The following is a 15,663-nucleotide window of genomic DNA, read 5'->3' on the forward strand; positions in this document are numbered from 1 at the left end:
ATAAAAACTGGCCTACTAGAAGTAAAGTCATGGAAAGAACAGAGGACTGACCAGTGTCGGGGTTGGGTGGGAGCGGGTGGGCGGTGGCGGTAGTGGTTCTTATTTATACGTTAATACTCGTTGTACCCATTGCAGTAACAAATACCTGTCTGCCATTGGTATGCCAATGAAGCCTTAGTAGATGAGGAATGTAGGTCAAAGACAAGATAAAGAAACACAGTCTCCAGCTTCTTCCTGGACAAGAGCCCAAGAAGAATGCAAGACAGGGCTTTGGAAGGCTTCAGAATCTGCTAGTCTTCTGGCATCACACGTTGTGGTCTTTTCCATTTGAGGGAAACATCCCTAAATGACTAAGTGCTCACCAGCACTCACAGCTGTCAGAACTGGGGAATTTAGAGTACCCGTGCTTGGTTGTGCAGGTTGTGGACTGCCCATGGGTACCTGGTGCGTGGGAGTTGAAATCTGCAATGAGAAGGGGTGCTTCCAGGAAGGATGGACAGCTCTCTTTGTAGTTTACAGAAAGGAGCCACATGGAAACTGGAATGCCCAAGGAGGGAGAAAGATGAAACAGGTTTCCACATCTATGTCATAAGTAGCAGAGGCCCTCAATGAAAACAGGTAGGTAGTAAGACAAGCAAAGAGAAGGATCAGAAGTGCTGGGAAGGGACTGTGAGGGACTGGCCACCTCCCCAGCACAGACTCCAGTGTCAGTGCCGCTCACTGGTTGCCAAGGCTCCGATAAAACAGGAAAATAGGACAGGAAGCCAGTGAAATGTGGAAATGGGGTATCTGTAGAATAGACAATAAGACCCATGGAAAAAGGAAGTCTGAGGTGGGAACATTTTTTATGTGTTCACTCTCCCACCAATTGAAGCTGGGGGCTCATCCATGGCTCACGGGCTTGCCAGTTGCTGTTACAACCTGGTTCTGCTTCTGGGGAAGACAAAGAAAGAGAGGGAATCTCAGCAACAGTCGGGCTAGGACAGGCATCTCCATCAGTGAGTGCTTCCAGATGCACTGATGTCTCAGCCCAAAATCCCACTCAAGAAACATTGCTTAGCTAGAGAGTGACTCCTCGGGAGGAAAAAAAAAAAAAAAAATCAGTCATTTTGACAAGGTCAAAATACCAAGAAAACAGCATTCCCAATTGGGAAGTTGTGGGTCAGGACAATAGTTCATTGGAACATACTCTTTTCTGTTTCTCCCTTCTTAAGCTTTTTGGCCATGGGGCAATTTTTAATATGTCCCCGAGAGCAAAAGCTCTCTGGGCCTGTGAAAACGTATACATGGCTGGATTATGGGTAAGGGTCTCTCTCATTAACCATTTGAAAATAAAGAACCTAGATAAGGGGGTAGAATAATGGAGCCAAATAATCCCACCCAAGAACAAATTATTTCAGGCAGCATTTGGCTTAGAAAGAGTAGACTACTATAGGGTCTGCAGTGTTTCATTACTGGGACTCAAGGAGCAACAAAGTTTCCCTTAGGAACTGAAAACTGGGGCAAGTGGCATGAATTCCCTTTGCTTACACCTTTGGAAAGATCAGGGGAAAAGCCAGTGAAATGAGAAGGAAGGAAGGAAGGAAGGAAGACGGGAGGCAGGGAGGAGGGAAGGGAAGGAAAGAAGGAAGAAAGGAAAGAAGAGAAAAAAGAAATAGGGAGGAAGAAAGAAAAAGAGGGAAGGAAGGCTCGTTTATTGAACCCAGGCTGCATGCCAGACATTACTTTTGGCTTTTTCATATATGCAATGCCACTTAGTTCTAAAGAGAACCCCAACTGTGAGGAAGGTGTAGCGGGCTACACATAGTCACCTAGCTAATAAGTGGCCAATTATATTCAAACCATGTGTGTCTGATTTTAAAACTCCTCCCTTCCTCTCTTGACAAGTTGTCACTACCAACTAAATATGCATCCATATACACATGTGTATATGCATGTGCATATGTGTGTTTTATAACATCGATGCTTCTTCATACTGCCCTTATCACCAAGCAACCAAACAATGAGGGTACATTTCCTATTTCTGTTTTTCATACTCTTCTCAGACTAAATGAGTTTTCTCCCTTCAGAGTTGCCCCTTATGTTGTTTTCATATGTTTTTGTCTGTATATTATTAAAGAAAGGAGGGAAAGAAAAGGGGGTGAGGCCAACGGAAATAATTTGTCCTGTTTCTGTTGCCTAGTGAGCATGGCCGGGGGGGTAGGGGAGTGGGTGGCGAGGGGATGCCACCATTTTGCCAACCCTGTACCACCTGACTGTGGGAATTCTCAGATCTGCTTTAGATAAACAGTTTAGTCCTGTTTTTCCCACAATCTTCTGACAGTTGAAATTTCCCCTGTTACTGTAAGTCAACCATCCTTGGAGAAGTTTCGTTTCAAGTAACCATGCTATACTTCTCTTGAAGGGGAATTGAAGACCTCTACCCCGGTGCCAGAGAACCCCCTACTTTCTCATTTTTCTCTAAGAGGAGGTGGAAATGGGCTGGGGCGGGGGAGAGTGCTTATGACTGAGGCTGCAGCTGCCCTCCCTATTGGATACTCAGCCTCACCCTTGCAGCCCAGTAGAGAGACGTGGCCAGGTTTTCCCTGTAGCAGACACAGATGCTTCAGAAGGAGTTGCTATTACAAAGGGTTTATTAAAAAAAAGTGTGAAAGGGATGTGGCTGTTGGCAGGGATGCTGGTTCCATGCTACAGCCTCTGCTGGCTGCAGTCTGGATTCTTGCCTTTCCTCCCTTCCCACTTTACAAAGGTTTAGGTTCACTTTATAAAGAAAAGCAATCCCCAGGCAAAAGTGTGTACAGTATTTTATTAAAGTTTGGTGGAGAAGGGAAAAGGAAGAAAAAGGCTGGATTGGGAGACAGGGAGGAGGGGGCTGGCCACAAGAGAGAGGGAGTGAGAGAAAGAGGGCAGGCATGCATGAGAGTCCCAAGCAGTGCCAAGAAGCAGAGAAAGGGCTGCTTGGGGACAAGGGGGGGTCGGGGGGGGAAGTGTGCCAGAAACCTTATAGAAAGAGAGCAAAGAACTGAACATGAAGAATGGTTAAAAACTGAAGTGCAAATGGACTTCAGCATCTTCCTGGCAGAGAGTGCTGCAAACAAAATACAAAATAGGCCACCGTGACAACTGGAAGAAACAGAAGTTTTGAGGAGGCAGTTAGGAGATGCTACAGAAATGGCCTAGCAAATAAGTAAATAAATGCCAGAGTATGCTAATATGCTGAGGACCTTTAAAGAGAGGGAGAGAGAGAGAGAAAGAGAGAGAGAGAGAGAGAGAGAGAGAAACACTAAGGTGCCTGAGACAGAGCGACATCAAGTGAAAGCAAAAACAACAGAGACAGACACACACATACATAGCCAGACCCCAAGAGAGGCACACACAGAGAGAGTCACACAGAGAGAAAGACAGAAAGGGCCGAGAGAGGGGGGTGATGGGGGTGCGAGAGTGGGGTGAGAGAGAAAGTCTCCAGCCAAATGCGGGAGACTTGGCAGGTCGACAGGAGCAGCCGGGCCAGGCAGTAACTGCACTTGCTGTGTCTAGTCTATTGTTGTCTCAGAAGGGGGGGGTAGAGGGAGTTGTTTGTTTGTTTTGTTGTTTGGCCTCTTTGTCTCTTTTGTTCCAAGCAGTTAGTTTGCTTCTTTCCCAGACACTGGGCTGATGGAAGAGCTTTATGGATTTTTTCTTAAAGGGACAGAATAAGCTAGTTCACCAGTATTATCGATTTCTCAGTCCTAACCAGTTCTACCTAAATGACTGGGTTTTTTTAATAGAAGGATCCTATTAATAATTGAGAGTCAGTGTTTATACTGTTTTGTGTGTGATTAACAAGAATAAACGGGTCGATTTCATCCTCCCCACTGAACCTCCTCCTACAGGGTTGCCAAGACTGCAGGGTAAAGAAAGGAAAGACAAAAAGGAGAAAAAAAATCCGTAACTACAAACAAAAGCAAATGAAGGGCATACATACTAAAAGAACTACCAACATACATTGCTACTTTCAAAAAAGAACAACATAGCCATCAAGATTAGAAATACAATCTTGAGGGTTTAAATAACCAGCAGAAGAGGGGCTTTGAAGGAAGAGGGGTGGTTGGGGCATTCTTCCCACACCCCTACAGCCTAGGCACTGCAGCTTCCACCTTCGGCCCTTCCCAGCATCCATCCTAGAGAATAAAAAGCCCAGCTCCAGGGGTTCTGGGAGTCCGTCTTGGGCCACTCTCCTGAGCTCGGCCTCCCTGGGGGAACTGGCCATTAACACACTTTCGCGGCGGAAGTGAGCGTGTTGAAGGGTACAGTCACTAAATTGAAAGGAGAGCTGCTTTTTATTCATTTGAGTAGAGGTAAGAGAAAGGGGCATCTCCAAAGCCTTTAACTTTTTGTTCCCACGGAGACTCCTAGCTTCCTCCTGTCCCAATAATTTAAATAGGTTCTAGTGCAAAGGAGGTAGCTTCTGTGGGAAATGAAATTTTAAAACATCCCCAAATTCATCTACCCTCGATTTTCAATTCCTCTCTAACCTTGCCCTAGAACACAGCCAGCTCTTTTTCTTAATCCCATCTTTCTCCATTCTTGCCTTAAAATCTCCCAGTGAAATCTAGGGTACCGGAGCTTAAAAATAAATAAATGCAATCAAAGGGTCTGAGGCTATGCGAAAGGTGCAGAGGAGTGGAGTAGGGAAAGGGAAGCAGGGGTTCCTTTGTGAACGGGATCCTTTATCTTCGAAGCAAACGCAAATCAGAGCCGTGCTTCTGCGCTCCGAAGTGCGGCTGCCACATTTGGAGAGAGCGGGCAGCGGCTAGCTCTGCGGGTTTGGGGGTGCTTCTCCTCTGCCCCATCTCCGTGGAGTTTGGTACTTAAAAGCCCAGTGTGTCAACCGCTCAGACTTGAAGGTGGTTAGGTAAAGAGTTAAGAAGCGAGGCGGCTTACACCCATAACTTTATCCTCCCCCTCACCTGTATTTTTCTCCCCTCACACCCCTCCCTCTTCAAACGGCCTTTCAAAGATGACTTAGGGGTTCCACGAATGTCGCTGCACGGTTTTGCTTCTCCTCGGGTGCCATTTCGAGGAGCCTAGAAACTTCCTGCCTTTCTGGTTGACCCTCCGCAGGGCTTTCTCTGACACCGCCATGGTGGCAACATGGGCCAAGTGGTACAGGGACCAGCCTAGCGGGTGGGAGGCCTCGCCTGTGGGCTGAGGAGGCACGACCCTGATCCCCGGCGCGCACAGTAGAAGCGGGACCTGTGCTAAGCCACGGGAAGGGGGGCGCGCCGCGGGCGCGGGGGGCGCGTGGGGCACGTGTTCACCCCAGCACTGGAAAGAGACTTGCGGTGGGCGCCGGAGTCAAGTCTCCTGATGTTCATGCGGAGGGGAGAGGATTTGTAGCCATCTTTGCTCTGGGTGGAGATTTCATATCCGCAGTCACACGAGGTAACCGACACCCCCCCCCCGTAACCTGAGCTAAAGGTAAAGGTGATCCTGAAACCGCTTGCCCCTGGGAACGTCGCTCCGGACGGGCGTCATCTGCCACGTGTGATAGGAGCCGTCTGGCCAAGTGGAAAAATCTAGGCTAAGCGCAGAGCACAACCCTGGCAGGGTCAAGTCCGATTTCAAGCCCAACCCGATGGGATTCAGAAAAGCCCGCCCAGCGTCCCCAGGCCCAGCAGTCCACGCCACACCGTCGGCGACGGATTTCGTTTCTATTCCCCGCACGCGCCCCAGCAACGCAGAAGGAGATCCAGTTTCGCCACAACGTTCCCGTTGGCTTGCTGGTTTGAAAGTTGAAGCCCCGGGGTAGTAAATTTGGCTACAAAATCTCAAATCTCGTTAATCCTAGACAAAATAAAAACATAATAGGCCACAAATTAACTAGCTTGGGGCGGTTTCTGTGATGGTCACCTGGCGGTGCGCAAGGAGTTATAGAACCTTGAGGGGGGGATCTTTTCTATCTCTAATTACCTGTATGTGTAAAGAACTCAAGAAGACGTCAGAACAGGGTCTCCTATCAACTGCTACCTATTGCTGTCTCGCAAACATCCCCCTAAACCCGCTGCATCGACAGCTTCGGGTGAGGGTGGGGTAAGAGGCACTTACTGTGAGGCCGAGCTCCCGCACGAATTAGCCTCACAACAGGACCTAGGTCTCCTAGGGAGACGAAACTAGGCCAGCGAAATCGCGGCCAGGGAGCCCCTGGCCCCCACTCGGGAGACAACCCGCCCGGCGCGAAGGGTGCGTCTCCTGAGCTCCACGCCGGGAGCTGGAAGGCAGGCAGACGCGCGAGGCTTGGGAAGGGTGGGATCTTAAAAAAAAAAAAAAAATCTTAAAAAAGAGAAATAAATTTGAACAAAACTAAACTACAAGCCCGCAGTTCCCCGCCGAAAGCGAGGTGGGGGAGGAGGGGGCGGGAACGGTCGAGGCACTGAGAGTGGGGGATGAGAAACGAACTCCGTCCCCTGCACAGTCAGTGCCTTCGGGGGCTCCACCACCGCGCGCTCCCACCCTCAAGGTTTGGACTCCTAGGGGAGGGAGAGGACGGGAGGGAGAGGAGGATAGGTGGAGGGGGAAGAGGGACTCCTTTTCTCCTCCTGCCAGCGCCAGCTGGGGCAAACTTGAGCTGGCAAAGCGCGAGAAAACTTTTCTTTGGAAAGTTTAGGTAGCGCAGTTAGTGGCGGAGGCTCAGGGCAAGCTAACAGTGCTGGGGCGGGTGTGGAGGGAGTGAGCTGGGTGCGATTGGGAGAGGGGAGAAGGGAGAAGGGAAGGAGTGGCCAGCTCCCTAGGCGGTTGAAGATCCAAGTCTCTTCGGTCAGGTCCGCCCAAGGTCCCAGAGGCACTGGGGGGTCGGGTGACTGTGCGGAGTGTAAAAGACATTTCCTTAGGAAACAGACAAGGCAGGGCCAGGAGTTCCGCGGTTTTTTTTCCGTGCAGAAATCACTACCCGGCGACGGCTCAGGGCGGTAGAGGGCAAGTCTTATCTGCCAAGGCGGGATTAGATTCTCTCGCCGAGGGTCCCAGTATCCCGCCGCCCAGCAAGGGCCGAGCGCGCGCGCGCGCCAGGGAGCTTTGGAGCGACGCGCGTAGTTTCGCGTCGCACGCGGTGTCTGGTCTCCGCGCACCACGTGCGCTCGCGGTCCTTGGCGGGGACGTTGGTGCTAGCGATCCGACAGAGCACCCAGGACTAGGTTTTTGTGATGCCCTAACCTGGGCATTTATGCTGGGGGCGGAACGAAGTCGCCCAACCCAAGTTCTCCCTGCACCCTGGGAAGGAAATGTGGTGCGCCCTCTGGGGCGTGAGGCCGCCGCGGCCCATTCTACACACCTACTGGCATTCCGCTTTTCCTTACTGTGCGCCAGGGGAAGGCATAATTCAATTATATCATACAACTGCAGCGCACCCTTTTCCTTTTTTGCTTTGAGGGGAATTTTCCAATTCCCAAATAAATACCTATGGCTCTAAAGCCGAGTTGGGTTCTGTAGTAACTACCGGGGGTGAAAAAAAAAAAAGACCCCAAATTGGCTGTGAGTTTACAGCCTGAAGCAGCTTATTTAGGCTCGCTGAGCGCCGTTCCAAACGGCAGGGCTCACGCTATTTCGGGAGAAGTTGGAGGGTGGAGAGAAAACAAGGTTATTTAAAGTGACTCCCAGAACGCAGCTTTCGTTCCTAGACTCTTTAGGTGTCAGTGCTTCGGCTCCAGTTTAGCACGGCACAGGCGGCCCAGCCTTTGATATTTAAGCCAGGCCAGCGCCCGGGTGAAACTACCTGTTGGGGGATTCTGCCGCCTGGAACCCTTCTTCTTCTGCGCAATACTGGCAGCAGTGGGATGGCTCTGGGGGTGCCACGCGAAGAGAGAGGGCGGAAGAGCCGGGAGCAGCGGACAGTCAGCTGCATGTGGCAGTGCCTAGCGAGCTGCTCCCGCGCCTCTGCTCGCTCTTTGAAAACTGGAAACAGCCCCCTGTGCTCTGTGCTGGGCCCCTGGCTGCGGAGATGGGCCCAAACTCGGCACGATTCTCTAAGTTCGGAAACCACGAAGCTTGCGCCTTCATGCGTGTCTAACATTAAAAACAAAAAAACCTCCTGGCGGCTTCCTGGGCTCCCGCCCCCACCTTGCGCTCCAACACCCGGCACTTTTCCCTGTACCGAAATTCACTTTACTACTTCTTGAAATTCGGAAAACTCCACCGACGCTTGGACTCGCTGCAACCCAGGGGCTGCCTAAAGCTCTCGCACGAGTTGCTTGAGGGAAATCACTCTCTGCTCTTGCGAGCAAACAGATCTCTGTATTTTTAAACAATCTAACTGAATGGGGGAGCGAAGCTAGCGAGGACAATTTGAGCAGTCTTTGTAGCCTGTTGGGAGAATTTTTGGAAGCTAGCGGGGTGGGGGTTTGGTCTCGCATGCGAACCTGTGGGAAGGACAGTTCAGGCTGGGCCCTGGGGCTGGAAGTCTCATTTGAGGAGCACACGGTCCCGAGAATGGCACGTATTTAACAACCTTCTTTAGGGCAAACTCTGCAACGGAGCCCGCCCGACATTAAATTTAGGGGGTGTGGAAGCGTAGACTGGGTTCAACCGGGAAATTTTCCCCGAGACGCCAAAGGCATTCCGCGTTATGTTTCCCATGCGGGTTTCTGCTTTTTGATAGCGAACCCCACTCCGTTTTGGGAGCAGCGAAATTTTGGAGAGCCCCAAAGCAGGGCTCGTTTGGGGTCCAAAGGGAAGAAAAGACTTGATCTGTGGCTGGGGAACAGCGGCACTTTATTTCCTGGGGCATGCACTTACATTCCCTACGGCCACAAAGCACCCAGCTGAAAACGAAATGTGGGCAAATATTAGGTAACTACGGAGAAGGAGGGAAGTTAGCCTCATCTTGTTTAGGATACTCGCTTTAACAGCGAGGACTGATGGGCTATGCGGAAAAAAGAATTTATTAGTGACAATTTCTTGCATAGGGATGAGAGTTGAGACTTCGAGCTAAAAGACGGCTCAGAACGCTTCCCGCGCGGCAGTCCCCCGCCTCCCTTAAAAAAAGTCATCCTGTCAATATTGGCTCTTAAGTCACACCCCCATTACCGGTCCACAGTGGCATTTCCCTTCCCCGTGTGCCCCTTTCTATACCCACTCATCTGGGCTTTGGATTGCCCATGATCTCTCCCTGCCTGGAAAAACTCGTGCAAACTTGCCCTTCACCAGGCACGCACGCACGGGTGGGCTTTCCCCAGGAGGGTCGTTTGGCGGCCCCGGGGACCCTCCTGGGCCTGGGAAACCCGGAGTATTTTCCAGCGCTCAGCCTCGGTGCCTCTGTATTATTTCGGTTCAGTCCCAGGGGCCCCGACCCAAGGATAATAAACAATGCCGCTTATTAGAGATACAAACGGGCACAGAAAAGAACCACACGGAAAAGCAAAGCACAGAGGCATTTTAACAAGTGGTTAGGCATTCAGGGCAGCCTGCGAAAGTGACGCAAAATTAAAAACGAAGGGCGTTTCTCTAAGAAAAAAACAGACTTTCACAGAATGCAGATTTTGTTAAAACATGATGGTTGGAACTACGTTTAGTTTGGTTTTGCCTCTGGAGATCAGTCGGAGTTGTTGCTACCTGCCCTTGCCTCGCTGCAAATCGCCACCCCCGCTGCCCCCAATTCCTATAGGGCGAAAGACCTGGGTGGGGTGGGGGGGGAAGTTGGGGGTCTTCTAGCTGTTGGCATGCTCTGATACCGTTATTCCAGATCTCTCAAGAATTGAAAACACGACCTCCTCTTTAGGGAGGGACAACAGGGGCTTTAGGGGGAGATGTATAATATCAGGCGCTGCCAGATGATTCAGAGATACAAAAAAAATTCCTCTTTCTTTTTAAAATGTAAATGCAGATACCTTATGGGCGCTGATCGTGAGAGTGGGGGCTAGGGATTCCTCCCTGGGTGCGGGTGTAACCAATTTCTGGTCTGCCGATGGCCTTGGGAAAGGGCCTCCCATCTGCTTCCAACAACCCCCTTACAATGTCAGAAAATCTTCCTGCCTGCAAATATTGGCACAAAGCTGTTTCGACAGGCGGTGCTGCTTTAAATAGGAAGGAGACCGCGGGGCAAAAGAAAGTCGCGACCTTTCTACCCACTAGACTACCTGCCTCCTATCCCCCAAAGGCCAAGCTTTGGCAAAGGAGACTCGGAGGGAAATCTCCCGTTCTGAGTGGCGTAGGAAATGAATCAGCTGTGTGTTCCAGGAACAAATCTTTAGTTGGTTTTCAGGAGTTGGAGTGCATAAAAAATAGGTATCCCCAGACTAGCTGCTAAGCAGGGAGAGGATCATGTTTGGGCATCTGCACCTCCTATGGTCCAGTCTCCCCACTTTTTTTGGTTGTTGTTAAGATAAAGTTTATGCTGGAAGAAACTTCAGAGGTGCTTTAGCCCAATTCTCTTGGGCAGTGGGTTCCTTCTGACTTTGCCGAAAGTAATTTGTCCAAAGGGCAGCTCTGCTCCTGGATCTGCCTAGGGAGGCCTGGTCTCAACAGCGCCAGCCCTGTGCCCCATACAGAACTCTCATCCTAGGGAGCTGGGCTAGGGCTGGCTGTGTCCGGGCCAGGGATGCCTGGACCTTGAATCACACCCCTTCTGCCTACCAAGGGCATCTCCCCTGTCAGGAAATGATCGTGGTGCCAACTGCACTCAAGGAACACCTCAAACCTTCTTTTCTCACCTCCCATCCTACGCTGATGGCCCTATACTGTTCACACATTGTTTCCTGATTTAATTTCTGTACTTGCTTTAGAACTTATTCAGCTATCTCCAGCCCTTTCTGTCTATCCTAGATGACAACTTCTCCTAGAAAGAGTTTCTGTCTGATGAACTCAAACTTAAGAAGCCTCCCTTGCAAAGACTGTGACTGAATTTTAGAAGGTATCTCAGGCATTTTGGGTGGTGAGCATGTTGTCCTGTCCTTCTCACCATTTTTCAAATCAAGTGGCTTGTGTCTCATTGCTTTACAGATAAAGAAACTGAGGCACAGATTCCTTCCTATGCAGGCCTTTGAAAAGCAGCTACTATGTTTACATAGATTCCAAGGGACTTGACTTACTAAAAGGCATACATGGATCTGAGAGCAGAGTGTGCCACAGACCCCGGGTCTCTTGATTTGAGGTCCCATTTGCCCACAGTTCTGACGGAAGTATATAGCTAACAATAAACTACTGTTGAGTGAGCATCAACTGTGCACCAGACCACGTACCATGCCAGATATGTTACATAAGTCATCTTTGCAGCAACGCTAAAGAGCATCATTAACCCCAATAAAATTTTAAAAATAAAATCATAAAAGGAACACATGCGTAAATCCAGATACTTCAAATAATAGAAAACAGCATAAAATGAAAGTAAAAGTCTCCTACCCTGCTCCGTCTCCTGGAATTACACTGATTTTTTCATTTTTTTTTGGTGATGTATTTGTATATATAATAGATGTTATCATTATTTTATGAGTGTGGAGTTGGGAGGCTCACCACCAAGATAACAAACCATGGCTACCTGTCTCCGGGCTCAGCACTTCCCGGTACTCTACATTAGCTAAGATGAACGTGGAAATAAAGAAGTGAGCGAGGCCACAGGTAAAAAGAAGAGTCGGGTCAGAATTGACATCACCGCTTCTTTTGCACTGTTCCTCCTGCCCCTGCCTGGCTCCTGAGACCACAGGCTCCCTCAGTGTATGTAATCTGATGATCTTCTATGGTGGCTGCATTTCTTCCAGGCCTTGGTGCAATTGGACAAGCAAGTGTTTCCATGCTCTGTCACCCGGGCCCTCAGTGCTGTTTCTACGCTGTACTAGGTCTGGTCCTGAGGCAAGCCTCTAAGCTTTAGATTTCACTGCTTATCTCTCAGCGTTGTTGAGAGGCTCCAATAACAGACAGGGAAAGGACTGTGTAAACTTGGAATCTCTCTATGTAAACATACAGCTGCTTTTCAAAGGCCTGCATAGGAAGGACCCTGTAGCCTTTCCCTCTGGAACAGAGGAGTTTCAGGAGTCTTTGTGAAAGAGTACGTTTTTGACATCTGAGGGTTTGCATTGTGTCCGTTTGTGTCTATAGGGGCAGGGTTAGGAGTATGTCTTAAAGTAGAAGAGGATGCTCATTTATTACTGAATCTTTGGAATCAGGAGACTTTGGCAAGGGTCAAGTGGATTTCTTTCTGCTGGAGGGCACACAGAGGCAAGCTGGTGGGGTTACAAGGAGGCAGTTATCCTGCTTGGGGTGCACCATGGGTTGGTGAGAATGGCAGAGGTATGGTGAAGGTGCTGCAGCCTGTCCCTTTGGGTAGGTAGCTACTACCAAAGGCTGTCCTTAGACTGTAGGGGCAGACAGAGGGTGGTGAGGGATAGGTCCAGGCCGCGTGAGCTTCCCAGACATGTTATTTAATTTGTGATTGTTTTTGTGCGTGGAAAGGGGAGGGATATTAGAGGATAGATGTGACAGTTCTTCTGGGAAGCTGGTCCTGTTCTATAGGGTTCTTCATTCAGGAAGAATAGCCAAAAACATCCTGAGTTCAGAGGCCTGCAAGTGAGAACAAATGGTGGACCACTGCTAGGGTGTCCTTGGCAGAGCGGGGGAGCTCCTGGAGAGGGGTCTCTGAACTGCTGCATCCCTGCACCCTGAGAATCTGAGCATGAGGAGGAAGCAGAAAATGGCTTTAAGGCGAATGAAGGGGGCTGGGGAGTGGGCTGGTTCCAATGAGAGAAACTGAAAGGAGGGAAGTCAGATTTTTCTTGACGGCCCAGTCTGGCTTCATTCTTCAATACCTGTCAGGACAAAGGCTGCTGCGCCCCCTGGTGTCCGACTGGCCGCCGATGCCTGCGAGCTGACGTGGAGACCCGCAGGCGGTGAGACCCGGGGACCAGCTGGAGGAGTCCACGGGTCAGATGCCTTTTCTTCCATTTGCTAAGGGAGTTGAAGTTGAAATAGCCGTTGCTTTGTCCGTTCTAGAGTCCAAATAGAGACTCTAGTGGAGAGCGAGAGGGGTTTTGTCTTTTTTTTTTTTTTTTTTTGCATGCAATTGAGGCTGACAGGACAATGCCTGTTTAGAAGTAGCCTGGTGCAGTGGAAAGTACGCTCATCTGAAAGAAAAGACCTGCATTTTAGGTGGAGAGCTGATCTGGGGCAAATCACTTAAAATGTTCCAACCTCCCCTTCCTTCTCTAAAAACCAAAGGGGTTACAGTAAGATGTCTGTAAGGTGTTGTCTGAACTCTAATGTTGATTGGGATTGATTAAATCACTAATACACCGCACCCTATTTTCTCAGAGCCTTGCAAATTTGACATTATTTTTTCAATCTACAGGCAGGTGCAAATGTTATGTTTCAGCATCATGAGTTCCCTAATTGTGAGCAAAGATTTTAGTGTCTCCTTTCCTTTTAAAAATAAAAAAATAGCTCTTTTGAGCACAGAACCTCCCTCACCACCACCTTTTGTGGAGCCTCCTGCAAGAAAGCTGCAGAGTGAACAGGGCTTCAGTCTCTGCTCTGTTTCTTTTAAAAATAAAGTACTAAAGTATTGTGCTGGAAATTCTGCTACTAAGTGTTACATGTGGTAGGTGTGAATATATGCTTCAATAGTTCCAGGCACAAGACCAAAATCTTCCCCAGAATTAGCAGAGTTTTCAGCTATAATCTGGCTAACATTTTTCTACAAATAGGTACAAAGACCAATTTGAGAGTACGGTCTCTCTAAGGGGCTACATGGTTGGGTTTCCATTGAAATTTAGGGCCATCCCTTGTACAGTCAGGTGAATTTTTAAGTGGGATCAGCCCTGGGGAATAATTATGTAGTCGCTGAGGGTTTTTCTCTCCTAAAATCTCCAAATCTAGTTTCTGAGGTGAGCAGTCAGTTATACCTCATGGCAATTTTTTCCTTCAGCATTGCATTTAAATGGTTATCTCTATGTAATGGGTACTCTGTGTGTGTGTGTGTGTGTGTGTGTGTGTGTGTGTGTAGAAATGGATTGTCCCGTGAAGGATCACTTGAACAGCAACCTTAGCTTTACAGATGTGAAGGGAGTGTGTAGCCCTTGTCCTGTTGTGAACACTGTCACTATTCCTTGTGCGGCAGGGGAGGAGCAGGTCTCTCTAAATGAGAGAAGCGAACCAGAGGAAGAACAGCAGCACAAATGAGATGACCTATAGCAACCGACCCCTGCTTCAGGGATGGGGAGATGCTGTGTGTGTGTGAGCATGTTTGGGTTGGAGTAAGCACAGTGACTTGGAACACTGCACCCCTCCCCAAAGGGAAAAGCTGTGTTACAGGCTGAACTGTGCCACTCCAAAATCACCCTTGATACCTCAGAATGTGACTGTATTTGGAGATAGGGCCTTTAAGGGGGTACTTAAGTTATTATGAAGTGGGCCCTAATCCAGTATGACTGGTGGAGTCCCTGTAAGAAGTGATTAGGACACAGACATGTATAGAGGGAAGACCATATGAAGACGGAGTAGGTAGCCATCTACAAAGAAAGAGGCCTCGGAAGAAACCAACCCTGCTGACAACTTGATCTCAGACTTGAGCCCCTAGAATTGTGAGAAAATAAATTTCTGCTGTTTAAGCCACCCAATCTGCAGTATTTTGTAATGGCAAGCGCAGCAAACCAATACAACAAGATGATACTCTGCACCAGCCCATTATGTACAGCCATTTGGAGATGCAGACCCAGGGTTACCAGATTCTCTATTTGAAGAATCTTTTGCTTTTTAAATATTGGCAGCAGGGCTGGCTTCCTGGGTGTGTGTCCTTTGCAGTCACACGGGATCCCATACTTAGAAGTGCCCCACGTTGGCTTAAATACCCTGCTTGCCTGGCCGGCTGCAGTGGCTCACGCCTGTAATCCCAACACTCTGGGAGGCCGAGGCAGGTGGATCACAAGGTCAGGAGTTCGAGACCATCCTGCCTAACACGGTGAAACCCTGTCTCTACTAAAAATACAAAGAAATTAGCCAGTCGTGGTGGCGGGTGCCTGTAGTCCCAGCTACTCCGGAGGCTGAGGCAGGAGAATGGCATGAACCCGGGAGGCGGAGCTTGCAGTGAGCTGAGATCACGCCACTGCACTGCAGCCTGGGTGACAGAGCGAGACTCCGCCTCAAACAAACAAACAAATAAAAAAAAAAAAAAAAGGCCAATTTGCAATTCTTAAACTTTCAACAACGGGCTTGCATTTTTGCATTGCACTGGTCCCTCACAAACTGTGTGGCCAGTGCTAGCTGACAACTAGTACACGTTTTAAATAATGTGCATATTAAGATTATGGGGTCCCAAACAAAATATGCCTGAGGCTGGGGCAGCGTGAGACACTAGTACGCACTTTTTGTCACTAACTGGATTAAAACTTCCCATTCTCTGGTAGTCACTAGGAGGGAACTTATGGATCCCAGAGGTTTTCTTGAAGTGGGAAAAAGAAAGGCACAGATACTCCCCAGGATGTTATTTCCCAAGATTCCACATGAGCTAGTGTGGCTCGGACCAAGATTTTCTTTTCCCAGGGATGGATACTGAGGATTTCACAATAAGAATATCTTGAGAAAAGGCCCCACACGAGGAACTAGTGTTTGGGGTTGAGGGCTAAGTTTAGCCCTGCATGTGGCTGATGCTGGTGGGCTTTGGGAAGCTGGAGCTGAATATGCTACCCAGAATGGTCAGCAAGGCCC

At 49.2% G+C, this 15,663-nt stretch overlaps 1 protein-coding gene and 1 long non-coding RNA gene across 8 annotated transcripts in view, besides 2 other annotated features; one reads left to right on the forward strand and one right to left on the reverse strand.

Annotated features, from left to right (window-relative positions):
- NFIB (nuclear factor I B) overlaps window positions 1-15,663 on the reverse strand; it is a 450,235-nt gene that overhangs the window by 259,014 nt on the left and 175,558 nt on the right. The window lies entirely within an intron of this gene.
- NFIB-AS1 (NFIB antisense RNA 1) overlaps window positions 1-15,663 on the forward strand; it is a 41,478-nt gene that overhangs the window by 23,770 nt on the left and 2,045 nt on the right. The window contains exon 1 of one of the 3 annotated variants that reach the window (NR_186537.1): window positions 4,196-4,337. The exons of 1 other annotated variant lie outside the window; for it this stretch is intronic. This is a non-coding gene — a long non-coding RNA (NFIB antisense RNA 1). Of the gene's footprint in view, window positions 1-4,195; window positions 4,338-6,456; window positions 6,500-15,663 lie in introns of those variants that run through there. One more of the 3 variants, NR_186538.1, reaches the window with a different exon arrangement.
- Window positions 7,946-8,445: an enhancer, noted in NCBI's record as "H3K4me1 hESC enhancer chr9:14348801-14349300 (GRCh37/hg19 assembly coordinates)". NCBI's record gives its function as "activates a minimal SCP1, AML or CMV promoter by ChIP-STARR-seq in naive H9 embryonic stem cells {active_cell/tissue: H9 hESC(naive)}" and the evidence as "EXISTENCE:reporter gene assay evidence [ECO:0000049][PMID:30033119]".
- Window positions 14,926-15,425: an enhancer, noted in NCBI's record as "H3K4me1 hESC enhancer chr9:14355781-14356280 (GRCh37/hg19 assembly coordinates)". NCBI's record gives its function as "activates a minimal SCP1, AML or CMV promoter by ChIP-STARR-seq in primed H9 embryonic stem cells {active_cell/tissue: H9 hESC(primed)}" and the evidence as "EXISTENCE:reporter gene assay evidence [ECO:0000049][PMID:30033119]".

Source organism: Homo sapiens, chromosome 9 (assembly GCF_000001405.40).
Source record: "Homo sapiens chromosome 9, GRCh38.p14 Primary Assembly".
NCBI classification, from domain to species: domain Eukaryota; kingdom Metazoa; phylum Chordata; class Mammalia; order Primates; family Hominidae; genus Homo; species Homo sapiens.